General features: G+C 51.8%; 1 protein-coding gene and 1 long non-coding RNA gene across 14 annotated transcripts in view, besides 7 other annotated features; one reads left to right on the top strand and one right to left on the bottom strand.

The window, feature by feature from the left end:
* The window catches only part of COL23A1 (collagen type XXIII alpha 1 chain), a 352,776-nt gene that overhangs the window by 217,274 nt on the left and 109,858 nt on the right, over positions 1-25,644 (top strand). The gene's annotated exons all lie outside the window — the stretch shown is intronic.
* On the bottom strand, positions 3,616-10,062 carry LOC105377757 (uncharacterized). Of its 3 annotated transcripts, none has more exons than XR_007059077.1 (4): positions 5,566-5,656; positions 5,325-5,403; positions 4,329-4,501; positions 3,616-3,796 (listed from the first exon to the last, which is right to left on the bottom strand). It is a non-coding gene; the product is annotated as an uncharacterized LOC105377757 (long non-coding RNA). The 3 variants fall into 3 exon arrangements; XR_007059078.1 differs by having other exon boundaries at positions 3,745-3,818; XR_007059079.1 differs by lacking the exons at positions 3,616-3,796; positions 5,566-5,656 and adding an exon at positions 7,059-10,062 and having other exon boundaries at positions 4,423-4,501.
* Positions 5,215-5,799: an enhancer, noted in NCBI's record as "H3K27ac-H3K4me1 hESC enhancer chr5:177794322-177794906 (GRCh37/hg19 assembly coordinates)". NCBI's record gives its function as "activates a minimal SCP1, AML or CMV promoter by ChIP-STARR-seq in primed H9 embryonic stem cells {active_cell/tissue: H9 hESC(primed)}" and the evidence as "EXISTENCE:reporter gene assay evidence [ECO:0000049][PMID:30033119]".
* Positions 5,817-6,808: an enhancer, noted in NCBI's record as "H3K4me1 hESC enhancer chr5:177793313-177794304 (GRCh37/hg19 assembly coordinates)". NCBI's record gives its function as "activates a minimal SCP1, AML or CMV promoter by ChIP-STARR-seq in primed H9 embryonic stem cells {active_cell/tissue: H9 hESC(primed)}" and the evidence as "EXISTENCE:reporter gene assay evidence [ECO:0000049][PMID:30033119]".
* Positions 8,793-9,785: an enhancer, noted in NCBI's record as "H3K4me1 hESC enhancer chr5:177790336-177791328 (GRCh37/hg19 assembly coordinates)". NCBI's record gives its function as "activates a minimal SCP1, AML or CMV promoter by ChIP-STARR-seq in naive H9 embryonic stem cells {active_cell/tissue: H9 hESC(naive)}" and the evidence as "EXISTENCE:reporter gene assay evidence [ECO:0000049][PMID:30033119]".
* Positions 21,058-21,597: an enhancer, noted in NCBI's record as "H3K27ac-H3K4me1 hESC enhancer chr5:177778524-177779063 (GRCh37/hg19 assembly coordinates)". NCBI's record gives its function as "activates a minimal SCP1, AML or CMV promoter by ChIP-STARR-seq in primed H9 embryonic stem cells {active_cell/tissue: H9 hESC(primed)}" and the evidence as "EXISTENCE:reporter gene assay evidence [ECO:0000049][PMID:30033119]".
* Positions 21,598-22,138: an enhancer, noted in NCBI's record as "H3K27ac-H3K4me1 hESC enhancer chr5:177777983-177778523 (GRCh37/hg19 assembly coordinates)". NCBI's record gives its function as "activates a minimal SCP1, AML or CMV promoter by ChIP-STARR-seq in naive and primed H9 embryonic stem cells {active_cell/tissue: H9 hESC(naive and primed)}" and the evidence as "EXISTENCE:reporter gene assay evidence [ECO:0000049][PMID:30033119]".
* Positions 22,139-22,678: an enhancer, noted in NCBI's record as "H3K4me1 hESC enhancer chr5:177777443-177777982 (GRCh37/hg19 assembly coordinates)". NCBI's record gives its function as "activates a minimal SCP1, AML or CMV promoter by ChIP-STARR-seq in naive H9 embryonic stem cells {active_cell/tissue: H9 hESC(naive)}" and the evidence as "EXISTENCE:reporter gene assay evidence [ECO:0000049][PMID:30033119]".
* Positions 22,679-23,219: an enhancer, noted in NCBI's record as "H3K4me1 hESC enhancer chr5:177776902-177777442 (GRCh37/hg19 assembly coordinates)". NCBI's record gives its function as "activates a minimal SCP1, AML or CMV promoter by ChIP-STARR-seq in naive H9 embryonic stem cells {active_cell/tissue: H9 hESC(naive)}" and the evidence as "EXISTENCE:reporter gene assay evidence [ECO:0000049][PMID:30033119]".

Here is a 25,644-nt window from a genome sequence, read left to right as displayed (position 1 = left end):
GTTTGATTTCTTACTCTGGCAGTACTCATAGTGTTAGTTTCTTCTCAGAAATCTGAAGCTGTACTCGGGAGGCTGAGGCAGGAGAATCGCTTGAACCTGGGAGATGGAGGTTGCAGTGAGCCGGGATTGCACACTGCACTCCAGCCTGGGTGACAGAGCAAGACTCTGTCTCAAAAAAAAAAAAAAAAAGAAAGAAAAAGAGAAAGAAAGAAAAAGAAAAGAAAGAGAAATCTCTGAAGCTGGGGGCTGGGCGCGGTGGCTCACGCCTGTAATCCCAGTACTTTGGGAGGCAGAGACAGGCAGATCACTTAAGCCCAAGAGTTTGAGACCAGCCTGGGCAACATGGCGAAACCCTGTCTCTACTAAAAATGCAAAAAAAATTAGCCAGGTGTGGTGGTGGGTGCCTGTGGTCCCAGCTACACGGGAGGCTGAGACGGGAGGGTGGCTTGAGGCTGGGAGGTCGAGGCTGCAATGAGCTGTGACCTCACCACTGCACTCCAGCCTGGCCAATAGAGAGAGACTTTGTCTGGAAAAAGGAAAAAAGAAATCGGAAGCTGGGCTGTCACTCTCCACCTCACCCTCTCCCCTTGCAGGGACCGCAGCCCCCGCCCCCCAGGATTTCGTTCCTGTGGACGCTGCTTTGGTTCTCCAGCCCTGTTTTTTCCCTTTGGCATCGTCTGTCCTTCCTTCTTCATTTCCTCTTGGCTGTATATTTCTGTTTAATAAGGCCAGGGCTAACGCCAACACCAGAGTCAGCAACTACGCCCTCGGACTAAAAACTTTAATAAGAAACAGAAAACCTGGAGGAAACGGCGCTCCTGCCAAGTGTATAAATTGTGCCAGCTCCCAGCCACATCGGAGCCCAGCACCACTCTCCTGGGCAACACTCTCTCGAAGTGCCTCCCAGCACGCCCCGCTGTCTGCCAGCCCCCTGCGTCAGCCCCGTCTTTGGAGTCACCCCTGCTGCCCCATCACCTTATTTCTTCCAGAGGAACCAGAAATCCAGAGTTGTGTGTGAAATTGCCTGATTTTTAACTCTGGGCTATGAGTTCCCGTGTTTTAAAACACTCTGCAGACCAGACAAAACATCTGTGGGTCACGGCTGTCACTGTGCAGCCTCTAATCTAGAAAGGATCCTGGATTTCCTATCGCAGACTTGGCCAGGCTCAATTTTTCTTTTCTAAAATCCTTCTTAACTAACTTGTTAGATTTCAGAGCTGTAGTTCAAGCTGAGTCAGAAGGATTTCACTCTAGTTGGCAACAGCTAGAAAATGAATGCTTAGAAACATTTCCGCCCTCAGATTCACTCCGTGGAGCCCCCTGGGGCGGTGGGGGCTCAGCTGGGTGGCCGAGAGTAGATGACAGGAAGGGAAGGCGCTTCTACATTGGTGGGAAGCTCACCATCGGGAAGAGGGACCGCGGACAGGGCTGCCCTGTCACAGGAGGGAGAACTGTGCAATCCCCAGGGTGTGCGGGGTGGGTGAGCTGTGAGCCAGGCAGGGCGCCACAAAGGTCATTTGGCCCAGGGGTTGGTGACAGTGCCCCTGAGGGAGGCTCAGGCCCGTCGCCGCGTGTCCAGTGTTCAGGGCTGATACCAAGGTCAGGTAGCTCAGCCAAGGTGTAGGGGCGACTTTGAGGTGGGACTGGCGGAGTCTCAGCTGGAACCAAGCCCGCGAGGCCCATCCGACCCCAGAGCTGCAGCCGGCCCCTCCTCCAGTCGTCCTCCCTGCTGGGGCATGCCTGCATGTGAGGATTTGAGAGTCAACTGGGGCCATAGTCTGAGTGCACACAGCCTCTCACCCTCTAGGCCTGGGGTGCTGCCTGGTGACACTGGTCGAACCCATGTAGGATAGGGAAGTGGAGATATTTGGATGTGCGTTTCAGGGTCTAACTCCTCATCAATTCTGCACAGAACATTTTTCCTTTGGCATTTTATATGTATTTATTATGTATTTATTTTTAATTGACAAACATTGTCTATATGGTGTGCGGCATGATGTTTCTGATACATGTCTACATGGCAGAGAGAGACGTCAACCTCATGAACATCCATTAGCTCATGGACTTAGCATTTTTTTGTAATGAGAACACTTAAGATCTATTCTTAGCAATTTTCAAGAATACAAAACCTTGTTATTAACCACAGTCATCATGTTATACAATAGATCTTTTCTTTGTGAGACAGGGTCACACTCTGTCACACAGGCTGGAGTGCAGTTATGTGATCACGGCTCACTGCAACCTTGACCTCCTGGGCTCAAGGGATCCTCCTGCCTCAGCCTCTTGAGTAGCTGGGACTGCAGGTGCACACCACCACGCTGGGCTAATATTTATTTGTTTATTTATTTTAATATTTTTTTCCTTTTAAGCAAATTTAGGATGGACTAGATTGAATAATTTTATTATTCAACATTTTATTTTTCAAGAGAGATAGGGTCTCACCGTGTTACCCAGGCTGATCTCCTGGGTGCAACCCATCTTCCTGCCTGGACCTCCCAAAGTGCTGGGATTACAAAGGTGAGCCACCTTGCCCTGTGGACAGTAGCTCTCTTGAATTTCTTCCCCCTGTCTAATGAAACTCTATATCCGTTGGCCAATGTCCCCCAATCCCCTGCCGCCAAGTTTCTGAAGCCTCTCTGCTTCCATGAGCTCTATTTTTTTTTTAGATTCCACATATCAGTGAGATCATGTGGTGTTTGTCTTTCTGTGCCTGGCTTATTTCACTTAGCGTCATGTCTTCCAGGTTCACACATATTGTCTCAAATGACAGGATTTCCTCCTTTTGTAAGGCTGGATAGTATTCCATTGTGTATACACCACATCTCTTTATTCCTTTGACATTTTAAACACAAGGGTGAAGAAGCACGCCCAGGACCTGCAGGCCAGCGGCCTGGCTTTGCACTCTCCCCAGCATGCTCTTTTCAAAACCTTTTGTGAGTCCTTTGATTCCATCCAGACTGCACATCTCAAGAGGGTCATGCATAAGTGACATTGATTATGGGAACCTGCCGTGCAGACACGTGGCATGAATTTGGTGCTGGCCTTAGTTCTGGAACTGGCTGCCCTTTTCCTAGGTGCTGGTTGGGTGCTATTCTGCATGTGCCCTCAGTGGTTCCTCCAGCTGGGTTCCACATTAACGTGACTCAGTACTTCGGGCCACATCTAGAAGGGCCTGGAACCTAAGGTCTTGCCTCTTAAATCCTGGCCCGTGGCATGGTCATTTGTTTCAACCCTTGTTTTGTGCCTCCTTTTCATTCTACCCTGCTGAACTGTGTTAGTCTGTTCTCATGCTGATGATAAAGACATACCTGAGACTGGGCAGTTTACAAAAGAAAGAGATTTAATGGACTTACAGTTCCACCTGGCTGGGGGGGCCTTACAATCATGGCAGAAGGCAAGGAGGAGCAAGTCACATCTTACATGGATGGCAGCAAGCAAAGAGAGAGGAGCGTGTGCAGGGAAACTCCCCTTATAAAACCATCAGATCTCAGGAGACTTATTCACTGTCACAAGAACAGCACGAGAATGACCTGCCCCCATGATTCAATTACCTCCCACTGGGTCCCTTCCACAACACGTTCAATTCAAGATGAGATTTGGGTGGGGATACAGCCAAACCATATAATGGACTAACTTTATTATTGTAATTTCTCTGAGTGCTTTCTGGACAGAAGAAAAGACTTGAAGATGAAGCGTCTCTTGTTACCTGCCATGGAGGGGTGTTCTCTTCCAGTTTCCAGAAGGCCATCACCTTAACCCAGGTCACATCCTCTCGAGGTGTGAAGTTTCCTGGGAGCTGGAATTGGAGCCAGAGGAGTCTGAACAAGGACAGGAGGGTGGTGTGGGGGGGAACACTTCATCTCTCCAGGGGTCAAGGTGTTTAGGGCCCCAGACCTGTTCGTCTCCCCTGGACAGGACAAGATACACACCTACCAAGCCAGCCTCCCTGAGGCCTGCCTAGCTGTGCTCACATGACTGATGCTGTCCCTCCTGACCCGCACTGAATAGCTTCGGCCTCCCACCCCAGGGCAGAAGGGGCCGACGGATGCAGCCTAAGGTCCTCACCTCTGGCTGGGTCAAGAAGGTGGGTGTGCGGGGAGCTTGCTAAACCTTGAAGGGGCACACACACTGAGCAGTCATTCATTTCCTTGTCTCCCCCAACCCCATCTCAGGCTGCCCTGGCTGGGCTTTGCTGCCATGAGGAGCAGCCCTCGGGGTGCAGGGACGTGGGCATATCTGCCCTGGAGCCAGCAGGAATCAGTCAGGAGGGGGAAAGCAAGTCCGTGACCTTATAGCCCAGGAACAATAAAAAGGGGTTGGTGTCCTACTTGGCTTGCAGCAGTGCTAGCTGCACCTGGTCCTCCTGGAAGGAAGTCGCTGTGAAGCTTGCTGGCTGTGCCACTCTGGACTGGAGGCTGACGGCTTCTGGAGGCTGACGGCTTCTGGAGGCCGATGGCTTCTGGAGGCCAGGCTTGGCCCCACTCTTCCCCTGCTCAAGTCACTATGGTGTGGGGAGGGAGAGGTATATGGATGGAGCTTAGACTACTTTTAGGGCAGTGGAACTACTCCGTGTGATACTATAGCGGTGGCTACGTGTCATTACACAGTCGTCCAAACCCACAGGATGTATGCTACCAAGAGTGAACCCTAACGTACACTATGGAATGTGGGTGATGACTCGTCAGTGTGGGTTCATCAGCCGACAGACGTACCCTCTGGTGGGGATGCTGATCATGGGGGAGGCTGTGCGTTTGTGGGCTGAGGGGATATGGGAACTCTCTGCACTTTCCACTCTATTTTGCTGTGAGCCTAAGACTGCTTTGAAACCATAAAGTCTTCTTTAGAAACACTATGGTAGCTCCTCCCTGCCCAGCCCATGGTATTCCTCCCCCTTAACCCATGTCCTAGCCATGAGGAATTTATTTCCCATGTTGCCTTTCACACATGGAAAGTTCTAGACAAAACAAGTTGATCCAGACAGACTGAGCTCTTCCCAGAGCTGTTTCTTGCCTGCCCTTTCGACGCATCAAAATCCTCCCTCCCTTCAAGGCTCTGCTCACACACAGCCTTTCTGATCAGTCCTTCCCTGCCCCTCCATGCGCCACTGGCCCCGTGCATTTCCGCAGTGCACACAACGTCTCCCTTAGAGCAGCTCTCCTGGGTGCCTCCCAGGTCCTGCCACCTGGCCCAGCCCTGAGCCCCTCCAGGACAGCAGCTGGTCTCATCCTGCTCCACTCTCCACAGCGCCTGACCCAGGCCACGGCCTGAAGGGTGGCAGCCCGTACCTCTGGGAAGCCTGGACTCACGTGTACCTGCGCACCCACCTGCTGGTGCCCCAGGACAGTTTCTGAATCTGGGAGCGAGAAGTTCCCAGAAGTGGGAAGTAGGCGTTTGGATGATATGCTAGAAAGAAAAGAGAGCCACATTGTACGATGGCAGCCTGCATCTGTTCAGCAGCAGAATCCCATGGGCCCTCTGCAGCCTGCTCGTCCTTGGTTTGACCCCGCCCCCAGCCTCCCTAACATGTCAGGGCTCCCGGCTCGTACAGTGGGACCTAGTGTTCACCTAGGGTCTCCTCCATTCAACACGGTGGTGAGGCCAGATGTTGCAGCCACCAAGGGAAGCCCCAGTCTACCACAGTGGGCTTGGAGCTCTGTATAAATGTGCAGGACACTGACTGCCAAGGGTGCTTTGCATTAGCAAAATGGAGATCACTCCACCTTCCATGGGACCTTGCTGATACTCTGGCTGCTGCTTCTTGCCGCTCCAGAGGAGAAACGGGCACACAGAGAGGCGTGACCCACCCAAGGCCAAACGCCCCTCTCAGACGTGGAGCTCCCGTCAGCTTAATGATAGAAAATGCACTAAGCGCAGCAGCTCCCATCTGGACATCATCGGAAGACTCGGAGCGGATGCCATTGGTGGTTTCCAAGCAGATCAAGCTAGTGCTGATGTGTATTCCAGTGATACCCTCAGATAACGATTTGGCTAAAGGAAATGTCTGACGTGACCGCAACTGAATTTTGTCTGATAGCAAATGGACTGTTCAGCAGTCAGCCCAAAACCCAACCAGAGAAGAGTCTGAAATCCCTGCCATGTAAAATTCAGTTTCAACAAACACGCACCAAATGACCACCCCATTCCAGGTCCGTAGGAGACACCTGGAATGCAGAGGTGAAGAAAGCACAGCCCATCTGGTGTGGCCAGGAAGGCGAGCAAGCCAGCCACTCATGCCAAGTGGGCCACGTGGGGCTGCAGAGGAGGGCAGGACCCTGCTTCCTGGGTGAAGGAGTCAGAAAAGCTTTTATGGAAGAGGCGACATCTGCTGTGAGCCTCAGCAATAGATAATGATTTAGACCAGCAGAAGCACAGGCACGGAGGAGGAACGTGCTTCCGGCGAGGTTTGGGATGCTCAGTGTGGCTGCACCACCGTGGCAGCGGCAGGATGCTGTTTTGGTTCTAGGGGTAGCTGGAGAGTGGGTTGGGGGCTCACATAGAGAGACACGAGGACTTGTTCTAGTCACAGTGATCACCGACACATTTTCGCAGGGCGGGTGATCTGAAAGCACTCTGTTGGGGCAGGGTGGAAGTTGGTCTGGAAAGGTCAGATGGGAGTGCAGGTGCAGAAGACGCCGTGAGCAAAGATGCACAAGAGATGATGGCCCCAAACTGGAACCAGCCCAGGAGGATGCAGGGAAGGGCGGATGGGAGCTGGGAAGACAGACCCCAGCGACCAGGTGGAGCCACACCAGCAGGGCACCTGGAGTCAAGCTAACCTGGTGCACCAGAGGATGGAGGACGCAGCGCCCATCGTGGGGTGCAGAGGGAACCTCGGGCAAGGCAGCGGTGCCCCTCCCCACTGGACAGCCAAGCTGGGCTGGGAGCAGGCCCTTCAGCCAGCAGAGTTGCAGAGTGAACCCTGGGCTCCGGGGAGGAAGAGGTGAATCAGACCCAGCCCTGCCCTTGGGGACTCGCCTCCTCGTAGGGTAGATGGAGCTTTAACAGATGGTCCCCATGGGGCTGGGCCAGATGCTGAGGACACAGCGGCAGATGATCACCTGGCACTGGGGGCGTCATCTGAAGCGAGCTCAGATGAAGAGGTGAACTCACAGGCCGTGAGGAGTGACCCACTTGAGGAGGGCTGGAGTGGGGCTTGAACTGGGCGTGTCTGCTTCCAAGCCTGTGGTGCGCTTGACCATCCCCCCTTCCTGCTGTGTTCACTGACTCCAGATGTTCCCAGGCCTTGCCCTCGAGGAGCTCCCCATGTGGCCAGGAGACCATCACAAGCCAGTGCCCAGCGCTGAGGGTAGGGGGAGTGGGCCCCCTCCCAGGTCACAGAGGACTCCTGGGTGTGAGAAAGGTGACATCAGAACTGGGCGTGGAGAACAAGACATGGCTTTCCAGGCAGAGAACAGGAAACGCAAGGGTCTGCCGGGAACAGCACGCAGTTGTCGAGGAGAAGAGAGGGGCCACTGCATGCCTGGCGGGTGCTGGGCGGGCCGTGGGGTGAGGCTGGGGCATGTGGTAGAGACCAGGAAGCAGCCAGGTGGGCCCAGCCAGACCTGAGGACCCCTCATCCCTGCCAAGGAGGCTTGTGCTTGATCCTGTCGACATCAGAAGAAAGAGGGATTGGGTGGCGGGTACCCGTCAAAAGAAAGAGGGATTGGGTGGCGGGTACCCGTCAGACCTGAAATGCGTGAGTGTCCGGGAGGGAGGAGGCCAGTGGGAAGCTAAGCCTTGAGCTGCCTGAGGCCATATGCAGGGAGGACAGAGCCTGGGACAGCCACCGAGGTCTCAGTGCCTCCTAGGGTTCCTCTACCCCATGCATCAAAGCACAACCTCGCTCTCCCACACCATCTGCCTGAGCAGGGTTTCCTGTGCGCTGGGGCTGGACCCCATATCTAATGTTCCTGGATGGAGTCCCAGGAAAACAATTTTGCTTATTTATCACACACACACACACACACACACACACACACACACGCACACACAGCAACATCATAAAGCCCACCCCAAAGAGAAATTACAAAGAGATTGTTATTGCCCCTACGGTTTATTCTTTACTGCTGTATCTGCTTGTGCATCTGTTTATTCGCCTGACAGGAAGAGCCCATTGCTTAATAAATTCAGGCTGTATTGGCGAGGGTTGTGAGTGAGCAGCTCGGAGCCCAGGCTTCCAAGCCAGTTCAGCCCCAGGCACTGGAAATGCTGGCTGTGCCTGCTGGAGGCTGGGGCCTGGGCAGGCTCCCTGCAGTGTGCCCTGAAACCTGCAAGGTGCCGGCTTCCCCATAGGTGAGGGGGAGCCCCTGTGCAGTTCATCAGCAGAGTCATGGGGGATGGGGGCACTTTTTGTAGATCCAGGTGCCTTAGGCCCACCCAAGACCTCGTGACTCAGAGCCTCTGGAGTGGGGACAGGAAAAGCTGTCCGGGTGATTCTGCTAATCAAAGGTGCAACTGCTGGGCCGGGTGAGTTCCCAGGCGCCTCCCCGACCACCCTTCTAGAACTATAATTCGGTGTCTGCTGATGTTGGAGATGGGAGAGGCAGGATCAGATAGCCTTAGGAAGACGGCCCGTGAGGGATGATCATGGCCTCAACTCCACCAGATGAACAAGCTCCTGCATCTCAGGGGACCAAGGCTGAGTACTCTCTGCACAGGCGGGCCCCACCTGTGGGCCTGCTCCACCCTCAGCTCACCCTCCTGTGGGCCTGCTTCACCCTCAGCTCACCCTCCTGGGGGCCTGGAGCTGCCAATCCCAAACCAAGAGATTCAAAACCTAGAAATGAGGCAAGCAGATATCAGGAGGAAGAAGGAAGAAGACGGACTTCCTGTAAGGGGCGGGGGCCAGGCAGTTCTGGCCATGTGTGGAGCTTTCTTCTCAGACTTACAAGGGACGTGGGCTTAGGCGGGAGGGAGGGAAACAAAGCCAGGGAGGGGCCCAGAAACCAACAGGCGGAAATGTGCAGAAAAGCACACGCGGCTTTAAATGTCCATGTGGCACAAGATCAAAGAAGAGCTCCCCATGTGACCCGGGGCGGGACCGAGGTGGTAGCCAGACCACTGGTGCCTTGAGTCCTGGATTGCCACTTTTACCTCAGGTGGAGGGGTCTGATGGGGAACAGTCAGGAGGGCCGCAAAGCGAAGGGTGTGTGGGGAGGTTCTAGGAGGTTCTCCCACATAGCAGGTGCTGACCACGTGTGACAAATCCCATTACGTGAACCTACGTGTCCACACCCAGATGGGTTGTGCCAGAGTGTGGAAAGGACTTGCTAATGTGATCATAGAAATAGGCTGTGTCTTTGAGGAAGAACAGAGGGTGATGGATAGGCCATCAGAACCATGCCAGTTTCCAGAGGGATGGATTCGGGAAACTCTAGCGCAGTGAGCCAGTGTCAGACCTGCAGCCGACACCCACAGCCGGTGGGGAGGTGAAGCAGCCATCGGCTCTGTGGCCGAGTGACGGGGCGCTCCTGTGGGACTGTGGGTCGAGGGAGTGTTTAATTCCAGTGTATTTGGACTTCATATGGGTGCTGACCAAAACGTCCTAATGTGTTTTTGTCTGAAAAGGAGACATTTGGGACCAGAGTCTGGCTGGGAGTGTAGCTGGTTGGTTAATAGTCACACAAGTCTAATTAGAACTATGACTGACCCGTAGTAGGACTCAATAGATACTGAATGAATGAAGGAGTGAGTGAATCAGTGAATGAGTGAGTGCACTGTGTCAGCCAGGAGGTATTTCTTCTTCTGGACTGTAGGTTCTACACTTAGGCTATCCTGTCAGTGTTTTCAACAACTTGGAGATGCAAAATGTATACAGTGATCAAATTAGCAGATAACAAGAGGATGATAGGTCCTATAGGAGAGGCCAGAATTAACATGTGATAAAACCTTGATACACTGTAACTCTAGGGCATGGGCTGATGCTTAGTGCCCCGCAGTTATGTTGTCTGACTCCCTAAAAATACTGCTCACACCTGTTAGGACACTGTTGCTTGTCATAAAAACAGCCAACTTGAATTGACTTAAAGCCAAAAAACAAAACAAAACAAAATATGTGGGGTTGCTGTGGGAGTGGGTTGCTGTGGGAGTGGATTGCTGTGGGGGTGGGTTGCTGTGGGGGTGGGTTGCTGTGGGGGTGGGTTGCTGTGGGGGTGGGTTGCTGTGGGAGTGGATTGCTGTGGGGGTGGGTTGCTGTGGGGGTGGGTTGCTGTGGGGGTGGGTTGCTGTGGGGGTGGATGTGTCATAGATTTGGCTTCTGTAGGGTGGGTCGGGCTGCTGGGCTGTGCCATGGGCTGGGCTGTGCCATCGGGCAGCCTCTCCCAGTGCTTGGGATGCTTTCCTCTGTGCCGGCTTCACCTTCAGGAAGTGGAGTCTTCAAAGTTCTAGCCTTACTCCTTTCTTGCAGCTGCAGGAAGAAAGCCTCTTGTCTAATAGTTCCAACAGAAGTCCCATGGCGGAGACTCCTGGGTGACATTTTACACTCTGAGCCAGTCATTGCAGCCAGAAAAATGAGGGTGTGCCCGTGAGCCAGGCCAGAGTCACCTGCCGGTGGCAAGGGTGGGTGGGAGAGGCTAAGACTTAACAAATCCAGGTGGACTGAGAGTGGGGAGGGTGGCTCTTCAAAGGAAAAGTGAGGTGCTGGTGGCAAAAAAAAGAGAGAGTGGCTGCTTGGCAGGCCACAGGCACCCCTCGGTGAAGTGAGCTTAGCCTGGATTCGGTATCAGCCCAGAGGCTGGTGTCGTGCTGTGGGCCCACTGAGACACAGAGCTGTCCATGGTTCAGTGGGACATGCCCCCACCAACCCCGGGGCCTGTGGTTGAGCCGCTATTCGGACCCACAGCCGCCTGGCTCCAAACTCAGCCTCCCTCCATTCACTTGGGCTCTGGGTGGAAATGGGAATGGTGTGTCTGTCTAACAGTTCACAGGCAGGGACAGGAGGAGCCGCTCTGCACACCACCTCTCACCAGCTGAATGTGTTCCCACCTCAATGCCCTGCCACACCTGCAGCGACGTCCGCTAAAAGTTGGACCTAGGAAGCCTCCTTGTTGCTTGTAACAATGACCCCGTATCTGCAGGAGGGGAGGAGGGAAGCTTTGCATAAGCATCACTACTCCTTTATCTCCCACTCAGCATTTCCTAGGGGGCGTCCAGTGACTCCCTGTGTGATGTCAGCTTGTGGTTTGGAGACAGAGTTCCAGAGTGAGATGGTGGAAAATCCCTGGAGGGGAGGCGGGAATGTCAGGATGTGGAGCCTGCCCGCCTGCTGACTGGTCTTGCTGGACCTTACTTAGCTCATCTGCAGCAGGAGACAGTGAGAGCCGGTGCATGGCTCAAGCACACATAGGGAAAGCACCTGTCTTGGAGGTGACTGCGGTTCCCAAGGGGTCACAGGTCCAGCATGGAGTCGGTGATCCCAGGAGAAGAATTGGGAGCCGTCAGGGTTGGGGTGGTAGTGATGGTGGGAATGTGCTGTGCAGAGGTTCTGGTGGAGGCAGTAGGAAAACATGAGTCCTGTAGGGGGGTGTATGATGGAGACAAGGCCAGGGGGCCAGGGGTTGGGTTGAAGGTGGAGGTGGGGAGAAGGGCCCTGTAGGAGGGAGGTGGAGCCCGCAGAGGAATGGTGAGGAGACATGAGGAGAGCGAGACTCTAAGAGCATCAGCTTCTACCCTCCTCAGGCCACATGTGCCCACATTCACACCAAGATCATTCCTCAGAGCAAGGGCTCGAAAGCCTTAACCCAATATTCACTCAAAGACAAGTGACTCCACAGGAGAAAAGCCTTCAGATCTCTCCCAATCCTTCCAGCTGACTCAAGAGATCGTCTCAGTTTGTCCCTAGTGCCTCTTTAACACTCCTTTAATACTTGTCAATTTCCTTTTTGACAAACAGAATAGACCTTATGGCAGGGAAGAGTGGTTTTCCTTTTGTGGTAGTAATTTAGGTTTCATTTTAAAATATATTTTATTTAAGTAAGAAAGTTTAAAGAAAAAATGTTTTTTAAAAACATGGTGTGAGTGGCACAAGAATAGCTAGAGACCCAGCAAAGACCCTGACAGCAGCTCCAGGCAGCCTTTGCTTGGATGTAGCAAGGATGTGGCCAGAGTGTGTCCCTGAGACGTGTTCAGTCCAGCCCTGTTTGCCAAGTCCAAAGCCGAATGTCAAAAACGTCTTCTGTTGTTCTTCAGCGTCGTGTTGGCCTGATAAAGCCCACACAGCTGCTCGAGGTTAAGCCCCAGGTGCGTAGCATTTCTCTCCCATCACATTGGCTCTGTTGGCCCGCCCAGGGACGTGGAGCTCTTTGGGTCCCCCGGTTCCCTGAAGGATGTCACAGCAGAAGTATAGCAGCAGCCGGTGCACCTGCTCCGTGTGGGATGAGGACAACACCTCCTGAACACTCCATGACCAGGTGTGCCATGCAAGTTTCTAGTATGTTTCTCATTCGAAACATATTATGTTTCATGACCCAAATAGGGAGGTGTAATTCTCACTTTTAAGGTGGGGACACCGAGGCTCAGAGAGGTGTTTGCCAACAGTTCTGCATCTGGCAGTCTAGTGAGGGATTTGAACACAGATCTGTGTGCGGTCAGTTCTCCTGCTCTTTGCCGGGCAGGCCCCTAGGCACGACTGCAGCCCTCCATCCCCCCCCACATGAGGCCCAGCCTGGCTCCCCAGGAGCATGCGGTTCCCATGGCAGCTTCTCCCTGGATGTGTGCGTCATCCTTGCAGGGCTGCCGCCACTTTAAATTGACCTGTCCCCGCTGGGAAAAGATTTTGCAATCTAATAAAGAAACGTACTTTCCTTGAAAAAAAGCTTCGCAGTTTCTATTCTTATTCTACTTTCTGTGAAATTCAGTGACTAGGTTTTCGCAACTGAGAAATCCCTACACTTGGTCTGATAAAGAATTTGGGGCCAACCGAGAAATCTCTGTGCTTGGTCTGGCGAAGAATTTGGGGCCACTTCTGGGCAGGAGAGGCTATCCCTGGAGATGTGGTTCGCATGTCAGCAGGCTGGCATCCCAGGACATTTGAGAAGCTTATGGGACCACGGAAGAGAATTGTGGGGTGGGAGTTGCCCCCAAAGACCTATGATGCGAGCGGCTGCTTGTCTCACCCGAGGCTCTGGCCTCAGGAAAAGCTTTTCCGCTCCCGTAAGCTCACCCTTAACCCCACCCCTGCTCCACGGACCTCCTCTGCAGCCCTCCTCGTTCTCCACTGGGCTCCTCTGCTCCCTCTCCCTTCACCCTTGAGGAAGATGCTTAGTTTCTGGGAGCCATCCCAGTCCTGCTCCATCTTCTCCCTAGAAATAGGCTATTTCTGAGTTTCTGTCTGTCCTCCTTTCCCTTCAAAGAAGTGGCCTGGGCCCCCTCCCAGCTTGGGCTTTGCACACAAGATCTGAGCTCTGCGACTTTACTAAGTGAACATTTGCTGGACATACAGAGCCAGCGTGCAGCAGGAGAGAAATGTAGACTGGGTTTTCACTCCACACCTCTCTCGGGAATCTTTTTATTTAACCAGACAAGGAAAATGAACACTTATGAGCAACCTGCACTCTGACAGGGGCCATGACAGTCCCTTCATGATCTTTTTTTTGAGACAAGAGTTTCGCTCTGTCACCCAGGCTAGAGTGCAGTGGTGTGATCTCAGCTCACTGCAAACTCCACCTCCCGGGTTCAAGCAATTCTCCTGCCTCAGCTTCCCAAGTAGCTGGGATTGCAGGCACCCACCACCACATCCAGCTAATTTTTTGTGTGTTTTTAGTAGAAACGGGATGTCACCATTGTTGGCCAGGCTGGTCTCAAACTCCTGATCTCAAGTGATCCACCTGCCTCGGCCTCCCAAAGTGCTGGGATTACAGGCGTGAGCCACTGCACCCAGCCCCCTTCACTATCTTATTTCGTCTTGGCAGCAACCCAGAAGTGGGGTGTTGGTGGAAACCGAGGCTGAGAGAGGTTAAATGACTTGCCCAGGGTTGCATGAATATTTACTGCAGTGCCAGAATCAAAACTGAGCCAGACCCCCAAGCCCCTTTCAGCCTGGAGAGCTGCCATCCTGCGACTCTGTGCTTTCTGTCTTTATAGATCACCCTTTCCTCTTCCAAAGCAAATCAGAAGCCTTTTATTAGACAGTTGGATTTGACATCTGGTTCTGAACAAAAATTTACACCAAATATTAACTACAGTCATGTAAAGGTGATGGAATCTGGATCATTTTCTCCCTTTATTTTTAAATTGTTTTCACAGGAACCTTTATAAACAGGCATTTAATATATAGGTGCAGATTTTATATGAGTGGGGGCTTATATACAAATCACACATGGGTATATCATGTTTACACACATACACATACACACACATACACACACACAGATACACACACAGATACACATACACACATACACATACACACATACACACATACACATACATACACACACATACACATACACATTAGACACATACACACGTACACATACACACACACACTAGACACATACACACATACATACACGCATACACACATACACATACACACACATACACATACACATTAGACATACACACGTACACATACACACACATACACACACTAGACATACATACACACATACACACATATACACGCATACACACACATATATACGCATACGCACATACACATACGCATACATATACACACATACACACATACACATACACACACATACACATACACACATACACATACACATACACACATTAGACATACACACGTACACATACACATACACACAATACACACATTAGACATACATACACATACACATACACACACATACATACATACATATACGCACACGCATACACACATATACACACATATACATACACACACATACACATACACACATACACACATTAGACACACATACACACGTACACATGCACACACATACACATACATACACATACACATTAGACATACACACATACACATACACACACATTAGACGTACACACGTACACATACACATACACACACATTAGACCTACACACGTACATACACATACACACAATACACATACATTAGACATACATACACATACACATACGCATACACACACATACACACACATACATATACACACACGCATACACACATATATACACATACACATACACACATATACATACACACACATACATACACATACACACATACACATACACACACATTAGACACACATACACACACACGTACACATGCACACACATATACATACACATACACATTAGACATACACACACATACACATAAACACACATACACACATACACACACACATACACACACACATACACATACACACATACATACACGTACACACACACATACACGTACATACACACACACACACACACATACACACATTTTAAATCTGACCTGACATTAAGCAAAATAACAACTGAAAATTTCAGCTGATGGGTAAATTCCTTTATATTTGGGACAAACATGTGAAAGCAAGGGTGATACCCATCAGCCTAGAGTCAAAGGCTGGCCCCTGGAGGCCGCCTGCCTCTTGGTATCATTCAGAGCAGATTCCAAAATATGTTTTCCTTCAAAGAACTCACTTGTTTCCCCAGCGGACGGTTAAAACCTCAAAGGCGCACAGTTCCCCAGTGTGCTGTTCCCAGCAAGAGCCTGCATGCCCGGCCTGATTTCATTGTGAGTTCTCTGAGTCGAGGCTGTGCGGCCCCAGCCCTGCAGCCAAGCTGACCCCCCGACCCCAGGGGGCAGAGGCACTTCCGCCGGCTCACAGAAAAGGCATTCTCCTGAGGGCGTGGACAGACCAGAAGCCTGTGAGAAGGGAAGGAGGTCACCATCTGAGGGGATGCACTACCCGGCACTTCAGAAAGCAGGTCACTGGGCAGGCGCCCTCAAGGTCACTTCCTGCTGGGAAGCCCCAGGTCACCAGGGAGGGAACCCGTGCTTAATGCAATTAGATACTGAAAGAACAGAAGGGAACAGGAGAACAGCATCGAGTAAAGGGAAGTACATCTTTAGCTCCGTTCATTTTCCTTTCTTCTGCAGACTTTAGACAATACTTGCATTTGACTCGAAGCACTGTTTGGAAAAGGCCAGCCTAACTTTTGTTGAGCATCCACGAGCGTCAGGCTTTGTGTTAGACTTTTTTTTATGCAGCATCTCTAATTATCTGGAGAGGTGGGCACGGGTGTGCTGGGTTGGAGAGGCTCAGTGCGCAGACCCCAGGGGGTTGCAGTGGGGACCAGCACCAGGGTTCCTGAGGCTCGGAGCCCTGGCATCTCCTCCTGCTGCATAGCCAATCTCGGTGCCAGGCGGCCGGGGGAGGGTGCGTAACTCCTGCCCAGGCATCACTCTGCTGGGTTTGGCGCGTGCCTCCTCCTCAGGCAGCCAAGCCGGCTCTGCTCCGGCGGCAATGGCTACTTTAATGTGGGGACTGGGGAGGCGCTGACTTTTGCTTTCCTTTGCCTTTTTTTTCCTGTGTCTCGCCTTCTCTCCCTTAACCCTTTGCACCCTGCCTTTCTCTTTCTGGGAAGAAGGAATGCATTCCTGAGGCAGAATGCCTCCTCCCACCCCTGCCTCCAGGGCTCAGGCCCCTCTCCTGAGGCAGTCGATCCTGGTGTCTTCTGGTTCTCCCCAGACATACCTCAAACAAATGCCCCCTCTTTTAAACAAGCTGTGGAATGCTTTACCCCCTGTGCTGCGCCTTGCCTTTTTTCATAACAGCTTTATTGATATACAGTTCACAGACCGCAGACTCCAGCTGTTTAAAGTGCACCACTCGTGGTTTTCAGTGTGTTCAGAATTGTGCAGCCAGCATCACAATCAACTTTAGACCATGATCGTCACCCTAAAAGAAGTCCTGTACCCATTGGCTGTCCTCCTCCCCTCCGCAACCCCAGGCGGCCACTCCTCTGCTTCCCGTCTCTGTGGCTTTGCCTATTCTGGACATTTCTTAGAGTGGGGCCCTAAGCCTGGGGTCTTCTGTGCCTGCGTCTGTCACTGAGCACCATTTCAAGCTTCATCCATGCTGCAGCGTGCTCAGCACCTTGCGTTTTATACTTCAAGAAATCTTGGAAATCATCCCATATCAGGAAATAGAAATCTGCCTCAGTCTTTTTATTTTACTGTATTAATTTTAATAGGTAAGATATTTGCTCACTCAACATTCAAGTGGTATAATCACTGCACAAGTTGGTGAACATGTTCACTAGCTCAGTGCTGTCAATCATTTCGCAATACGCAGTCAGCCCTCTGAACCTGCAGCTCTGCATCTGTGGATTCAGCTAAACACAGATCAAAAAAAATTCAGAAAAAAATACAAACAAGCCTGTATTCCCAGCACTTTGGGAGGCCGAGGCGGGCGGATCATGAGGTCAGGAGATGGAGACCATTCTGGCTAACATCCTTGGCGGCGTGAGCCTGTGGTCCCAGCTACTCGGGAGGCTGAGGCAGGAGAATTGTTTGAACCCAGGAGGCGGCGGTTGCAGTGAGCCGAGATCGCACCACTGCACTCCAGCCTGGGCAACAGAGCAAGACTCTGTCTCCAAAAAAATAAAAACAAACCTCTTTTCTTTATAAATTACTCAGCCTTCGGTAGTTCTTTATAGCAATGCGAGAACAGACTAATATACTATGTAACCCAGGCTGGAAAACTGCATCTATTTTAGATGTATGACTTAATGTTTCCATATCTGTATAGCGTTGTGCCTTAATATCCATGGGGGATTGGCTCCAGGACCCCCCTGCAGATACCCAAATCTGGACTGCTCAAGTCCTTGATATAAAATGCTTGTTTATTTATTTTATTTATCTTATTTTATTTGAGGTTCTTTGTGGCCCAGACTGGAGAGCAGTGGTGTGATCCTAGCTCACTGCAGCCTTGAATTCCTGGTAAAATGTGTAGTATTTGCATATAACCAATACACATCCTCCATATGCTTTAAGTCATCTCTAGATTACTTATAATGCCTAATATGATGTAAATGCTATGTAAACAGTTACTATTCTGCATTTTAAAAATCCATTTTTTTTTTTTTTTGAGACAAAGTCTCACCTGTCTCCCAGGCTGGAGTACGGTGCTATGATCTCCACTCACTGCAACCTCCGCCTCCCGGTTTCAAGCGATTCTCCTGCTTCAGCCTCCCGAGTAGCTGGGACCACAGGCTCACACCACCATGCCCAACTAATTTTTTGTATTTTTACTAGAGACGGGGTTTCACCGTATTGCCCAGGCTGGTTTCGAACTCCTGAGCTCAGGCAATCCATCTGCCTCGGCCTCCCAAAGTGCTAGGATTACAGGCATGAGCCACCACACCCAACCTAAAGAAAAGAGGGTTTAATTGGCTCGCGTTTTCACAGTCTGTACGGGAAGCATAGTGGCTTCTGCTTCTGGGGAGGCCTCAGGAAACTTACAATCATGGTGGATGGTGAAGGGGAAGCAGGCACATCTTCACATGGCAGAGCAGGAGAGAGAGACAGCGAAGGGTGAAGTGCTACACATTTTTAAACAGCCAGATCGCACGAGAACTCAGTCACTGTCATGAGAACAGCACCCAGAGGATGGTGTTAAACCATTAAAACCACCCCCATGATCCAGTCACCTCCCACCAAGCCCCACCTCCAACACTGAGGATTACAGTTGAACAGGAGACTTGAGTGGGGACACAGATCCAAACCATATCACATGAGAAAACCCTGTCTCTACAGAAAGTAAAAAAAATTAGCAGGGCATGGTGGCATGTGCCTGTAGTCGCAGCTATTTTCGAGGCTGAGGCAGAAAGATCACTTGAGCCCAGGAGTTGGAGGCTGCTGTGAGCTATGATCACGATTGCACTCCAGCCTGGGCAACATAGGAAGACCCTATCCCAGTCAATCAGTCAAGCAATACCATTTTTATTTGCCAATTATACTTCAATAAAAATAGGGGAAAAGAATTATAAAACTGAAAAAAAAAAGATTCAAATGGTATAAAACAGTATCCAGTGGGAAAAGTCCCAACCACCCCTGTCCTTCAGCAACCACACTGCCTTGCCTGGGTGCCAATCACCCCTGCCTCCCGGGCAGGGTGTTTTAGGCTCATGCAAACAAACACATATGTAAATCCAGTCTTTTCTCCCTGTTTTTTGTTGGGGTTTTTTTGGTTTTTTTTTTTTTTTAACTCAACGGTAGCACAACATACACAGTTTTGTCTCTTGTTTCTACATCGTGGTCTATCTGAGATGTTTTGTCTCCCGCATGGAATGTCCTAGTTTTTTTTGAATGGCTGCGTTAAATGACACTGGGGTGAGTGCATGGGAGGGATAAATTCCTAGATGTAGACCTGCTGGGTCCAAGCGTCTGTGATGATACAGCGCTGATTCCCATCCACGGAGAGATGTCACCCACACCCTGGCCTCCTCTGTGCAGCTGAGGATGTGCTTCCCAGGAAGTGGGTACTATTTCATGTTACTACTTTATCCTAAGAGAGGAGAAGCTGCGTCCCAGGGAAGAGGTCATTTGCGATTCTCTATGACTAAAGGTGACTTGGGTATGTCTCAGAGAAACTTACGTTTCCTTTTCGGCAAATGGCCCAGTCCTATCCTTGGTTCACTCTTCTTTTGGCTATTCACATCTTCCTCACCGATTGCTAGGAATGTTTTAAGGAAGTTTTCATGTGGGTTGGAAATATTTTCTCATAGTTTTATACTTTTAACTACTTTGGGGGGTTTTGTGTTTGCATCATGAAAAAAATTTTCAATATATTCCCATTTATCAGTCTTTTATGGCCTCTGAGGTTTGTGTCATACATAAAGGGCCTTTCTCAAATCAGACATAAAAGAAATTTATAGCTTTTTTTTTACTACTGTTATAGCTTCATTTTGCTCCATTCTTTTTAAAGGCTGCATAGAGTTTCATTGCATGAGTATGCCATAATTCACTTCACCCATTTCCCATTATTGGGCATTGGAATTGTTTCCAGTCTTTTTCTATTAAACGTGACGCTGCAGTGATTCTCCTCATACATCATGCTTTTGTGCATATGTGGAAGTATATCTGAGGATGAATTCCTCAGAGTGGAGTTGCTAGATCAAAGCGTATGTGCATTTGAGATTGTGGAGTGTACATTGCCAGTTACCTTCTGAAGACGTTCTCATATATTTTCCCCTTTCAATGGTATGTGAGAGCAGCTTGCCAACTCTTCTTTTCTCAAGTGGGAAATAATTCCATTATTTTCTCCCCAAAATATTCGGTGTGAGGAGGATGGACAAACAGACGTGCTGGGCCTGGTTCTACACAAGTGTGAGAGACGGAGACTCCCCTCTCAGCAGCCCTGGGGGGCAGTTATGTTTATCTCATCTTGTACCTGGTGAGCAGGCAGACCACTGCACTCAGAGGGGCATGCTTAGAAAGAGAATGCATCTTCCAGAGTTTTTAGCCTACATTGTCTATTAGGCCACGAGAAACGGATCGCCCTTGTCTCTTAGCTGGGTGCAGCATTCCTCTCTGGAGAGAAGGTAAAGAGGTTTGTCTTTGCTGTGTATTGAAAAGAGGTCAAGAGGAGCTGTGCTTCTATATTTTATCTATTGTAATTCAAACTCCTCTTTACAATGAACTGTTGCTCCTTATGAGAATTGTAAGCGCAGTTGCTCTAAACACCTAAGGTCGTGGGGGTTTGTCTCATCTCTTCCCTCCTCCACGTTCATTCTTCAGCAGAAGTTCTCACTTCATTGGCTGAACTCTTTTTGTTTGTTAAATTTCTTTAATAGCATTTGCATCTTGCAAATTTCAAAAGTGGTCATTTTATCTGTCTCTTCTTTTAAGAGAGAGAAGATCCAAAGCGCTAAGGTGTTTTGACAACTGTGCCGTAGCTCTGCAAACTTGATCCAGTCACAGAACCGCCTGCAGCTTCTTGAAGTCTTGCACCTTCTTGGTGAGACCAGGACAGCGAGGACGATGCCCCCCTCACAGGGCCGCCCGAGAGCTGAGTAGAGAAGCCAGGATGAAAGTATCTAGCTTAGGGCCTGTGCCTTAGTCTGCTAGGGCTGCCACAACAAAATCCCACAGACCGGGTGGTTTCAACAACAGAAAGTTATTTTCTCGAAGTTCTGGAGGCTGGACATCCAAGACCAAGGTGTCATTAGAGTTGATTTCCGGCGAGGCCTCTCTTCCTGGCTTGTAGGCAGCTGCTGTTTTCTTACCTGGCAAAGACACAGAGAGCTCTGGCCTCCCCTCTTCTTATAAGAGCGCCAGTCCTTCGGGGTTAGGGCCCTGCCTTATGACCTCATTTTATTTTAATTGCCTCTCTAAAGGCCTCATCTCCAAATATAGTCACAATGGGGACTAGGGGCTTCCGCATATAAACTGGGGGGGCACAATTAGTCCCAAACAGCCTGGAACACAGAATGCAGCCCAGAGGCTGTGCACCAAGAAATCAGCACTGTCCCCAGCAGGATCCAATCTGAGATCCCCAGATGACCCCAAACCTTGCCCCGGCCTGCGCTGCTACCTCGTGTCTCCCCCACACTCCAGACGCTGTTTTCTGTCTCATCCTTCCTGTTAAAGAAACAGTGGGCCGAGTGCGGCCTCACTGGCCCCTGGGGGTCCTGTGGCAGCTCACCAGCCCTGGGGGTCATTTCTCTGCTGGCTGTTTTCACTGAGCTCCCAGTTCCCTGGGCAGAGGCTGCTGAGACAGGTCCCCAGCAAGGCTCGCCAAGGCACCAGTCACACTGTGCACACCCGTTATTGCTCATCCAAAGGTTTGCTTCTACAGCGGGAGAAAATGTGGTTCCTGCTCCCCGTCCTCATCCGCCAGGTAACTGCCAGCACGGGAGGCTGAGCCTGCTCTCCCTCACTCCTCCTCTTGCTCCCTTTCTCCCCACCTAGATCTTTCTCTAGAGCCAGAATCCCCCTGCTCACCTCCAGAGCCAGTTGCAGCTGCACCTCATTCATCGTGAGCGTCCTGACACTCAGAGGCCCGTCTCCGTGTCTCTTGCTGGGCATGAGTGCTGTGCCACCCCGCGGGGACAGTCAGTGGAGCTGCGAAGCGTGACTTTCCTGCCTGAGCAGCCCCGGGGCTTTGGCCTTCTCAGGGTCGGCAACCCCAGGAGACCACCCCCGCTGGCCCTGTCCTTGATGTCAGGTAGGAAGTGGTCCCTCCCTGGTTGGGAGGATTCCGGCCTGGGACATGACTGTTGGATAGATAGCTGCTGTCAGGCCATTCTGCACCTCGGTTTGTTAAAAGTGAAGATCAACATAGCTGGCCCAGAGTCAGGAAGAGAGGCTTGCGTGCTGCAGGGAAAGGCCCTCGGACAAGAAAAGTGACGCAGCTTCAGTCAAGGCCAGGGGAGTAGAGCGGGCAGGCCACACACAGGGCCTAACGGGCTGGCACAGCAGCAGGGCTGCCCAGGGTCTCGGGCAGCCTGGTCCCATTAACAGATGCCCCCCAGCAAAATGAATCACTCCGCCTTCAATGCTGTCATTGCAACATATCCACACTTCCTCTGTGGCTCTTGGAACCCGGGGTTATAATTATCTGGTGAGGAATCCTTGGGGCAGCCACACGCTACCTGTGCCAGATTCCTCCTGATTGCTCCCCACATTGCAGAGTCCTGACATCGCGCTGGGCCCAGCCACCCCTCTGTTCATCCAGCCTTGCTTCCTGACGGCCCTGCCCTAGATGCCGTGCTGGGTGCTGGAGTGCCATGCCGGCCACTCCCCAACTTCACGCAGCCACACAGCCAACTTGCTGTGTACCAGGCACTGTGCTGGCTGCTGGGACCCTAAAAGAGCTGTCAGAGGGTGAGCTGATGATATCCAAGCGCAAAGGACTGAAATGGAGAAATAGAAGCACGCTTCAGAGCCAGGCAGGGCTGGGAGCAAGAAGGAACAGAGAGGGGCATGACCAGGTGGGCGTCCTGGAGGAGGTGGCATGGGTGCTCGGCCCGAGGACTGAGTAGAAGCTGACTGCGTGGGAAAGTGCTCAGTGTAATTGTAGGCAGGGGAAGAGCATGGCACAGGCTTGGTGTCCCTGGGCACAGCCAGCTTGCATTGTAACCTGGTTTTAGGGTGCCTGGAGAGGGGGCACAGAGGGCCTGAGGACCTTGAAGGCCAGGAGACTTGATAGGACCCGAGACCCTGGGTGCACATGCACTGGTGCCTCATTGTAGGTGGGAATTTTCCCAAGTCCTGCCCACCTTCTCCAGGCCTGGGAGGGAGAGAGTACCCCAGGGAGGTACCAGAGGTCCCCCTCCAGTCAGGGGCCACTGCAGGGGGCGGCCTCCTCTAGATCACACCCACTAGTGGAGCTGAAGCCACACAGACCTCCCCCCACTCTCACCCCTGCAAGGAGGAGCCTGGGGCCCAGGTGAGGGTTGGGGGACCCCAGTAGGACTTGGTCCATCATTCATTCACTCAGTCAACACTCTGGTGTGGAGTCCATCTTCTTGGGGCTCCCCCCAAGGGAGACAGAAGACAAAAAAAAAGGAAAGCCTCCCATTACATTGGACGGTGATAGTGCCGTGGAAAGGTGAGGCAGGAAGCGGGAGGCACGGGAGGCCAGGCGTGGGGCGTGGGGGGTGGCCCTGCCTAGGGAGGGCCAGGTGTGGGGCATGGGGGATGGGCCCGCCTAGCGGAGGGCCGGAGGGGACCAGCCACTTTTGTCTGCTGCCAAATCTATTGTGACTTTAATAAAGTGAGAAAGGAAGCCAGTCACAGCATCACCCGGGTTATCAACACCGGTGTGATTCTCCTGGGCACCCGCCGCAGTGGGCCTCTGCCTCCTGCCAGTCCTCAGTGGGGAGGGGCTTCCTACCCCGACCTCTGTCACATCTTTCAGCTCTGGTTCCCCTCACCCAGCTGCCTGTGCCCCTGTTATTTCTCTGGTCTCAACTCATTGCTGGTTTTTACCTTGGGGGGAAAAAAATCCAAGCATGGAAGCCTCTTAATACAAACCAGATGAGGGGCTGGTAACAATGTTTTTCTCCGCATCAATCATCCGAGTTCTCGCTGTGCTGAGAATTTGGTAAGCCCTCGTCGGCTCTACCGAGAATCCCTTCCAGACTGCCCGGCAAGACGCAGGAAGACAATGCCGCCTTCTGTGTTAAGTTGAGCAGAGCACCTTTGCACATGTGTTCACCCCACTCCTGCTTGGGTTCAGGTGGGATTTGGGGGTCGGCCTGTGCTGCTGACGCGGGTGGGGGAGGCTGACCCTCTGCAGTGGGACGAGCTGCAGCCCTGAATTTGATCTCCCTCCCTGCTGGGGGGTTGGCCTGGGCCGTGTGCAGAGAGTGGCTGGGCCTCAGATGGAAGGGCTGAGGAAGGGCTGGATTCAGAGCAGGTGGAGTGGCAGGACCCAGGACCTCTTGGAAGTCCCTCCCTAAATCAGACTTAGGAAGGTGGGAGCCACTGGGCACCCATGGGGGCCTGGTCCTGGGAAGGGGCTCTGCAGACCCCTTTCCCCTCCTGAGGCAGAATGCTCTGCAGCCAGGCAGGGAGCTCAGCCCAGAAGCCAGGTAGTAAATGGGCGTGAGGCACTTTGTTAGCAGGGAAGCCGCTGTGAGGGTATGCCTGCTGGCCCAGCGCCGTTCGGAGCCCTGAGGCCACACACCCAACCCTGACTGCCAAGGGAGGTAGCCATGAACATGGAAAAGGACCAGAATGCAGCATGACAGGGCTGCGGTGGGGGTGGGGGAGACAGGATGGGGCCTTGACCCTGCCAGGGGCAGTTTAGGGTGGCCTTCTGCCTGAGGTGTCCCCTCCTCAGTAAGAAAAAGCCATTAGCAATGAGGTAGAGGAGGGGTTCTTTTCAGCAAAATAATGAGAAGAAAGCAGGTGATCATAGCCCAGAGTCGCCCCGAGTGCGTGGGAACACAGAGGTCCCTGCAAGAGGCAGAGCTGCTGGGAAGAGCCCGCCCAAGCCCTGGGCGGCAGGTGGAGAGGCCAAGGCAAGGCCAGTCGGGGGGCGGCGTCAGGGCAGCTGGAGCTGGATGGGAACAGGGGCGGGGGTGAGGTCACAGGCCATCAGGAGGCACATGGAGGCATGCGAGACCCCGAGGGGCACTGCTGGGGCTGGGAGGCATGAATCCAGGACAGGGGAGGATGATCAAAGTTCTAGACCACTCCTCTAAGTTTCTAGAACTGTGCTAGCCTATATGGTAGTCACTAGTCCGTGTGGCTATTTAAATTTATTCTTTGTTTTTTTTTTGTTTTGTTTTTTTGGGTTTTTTTTTTTTTTTTTTGAGACAGAGTCTTGCTCTGTCACCAGGCTGGAGTGCAATGGCGCAATCTCGGCTCACTGCAAGCTCCGCCTCCCGGGTTCAAGTGATTCTCCTGCCTCAGCCTCCCGAGTAGCTGGGATTATAGGCGCCCGCCAGTGCGCCCAGCTAATTTTTGTACTTTTAGTAGAGACAGGGTTTCACCATGTTGGCCAGGATGGTCTCGATCTCTTGACCTCATGATCCGCCCGCCTCAGCTCCCAAAGTGCTGGGATTACAGGCGTGAGCCACCACGCCCGGCCCTATTTTTTTTTTTAATAGAGATATAACACAACATAAAATTCACCATTTAAAGTGTATGACTCGGTGGTTTTTAGTGTATTCACACACTGTGCAGCCGTCACCACTGTCTGATTCCAGAAAGTTTC

This window comes from Homo sapiens, chromosome 5 (assembly GCF_000001405.40).
Source record: "Homo sapiens chromosome 5, GRCh38.p14 Primary Assembly".
Taxonomy (NCBI): Eukaryota; Metazoa; Chordata; class Mammalia; order Primates; family Hominidae; genus Homo; species Homo sapiens.
The sequence above is the reverse complement of the archived record's forward strand: the minus strand, read 5'-3'. Positions and strand labels throughout refer to the sequence as shown.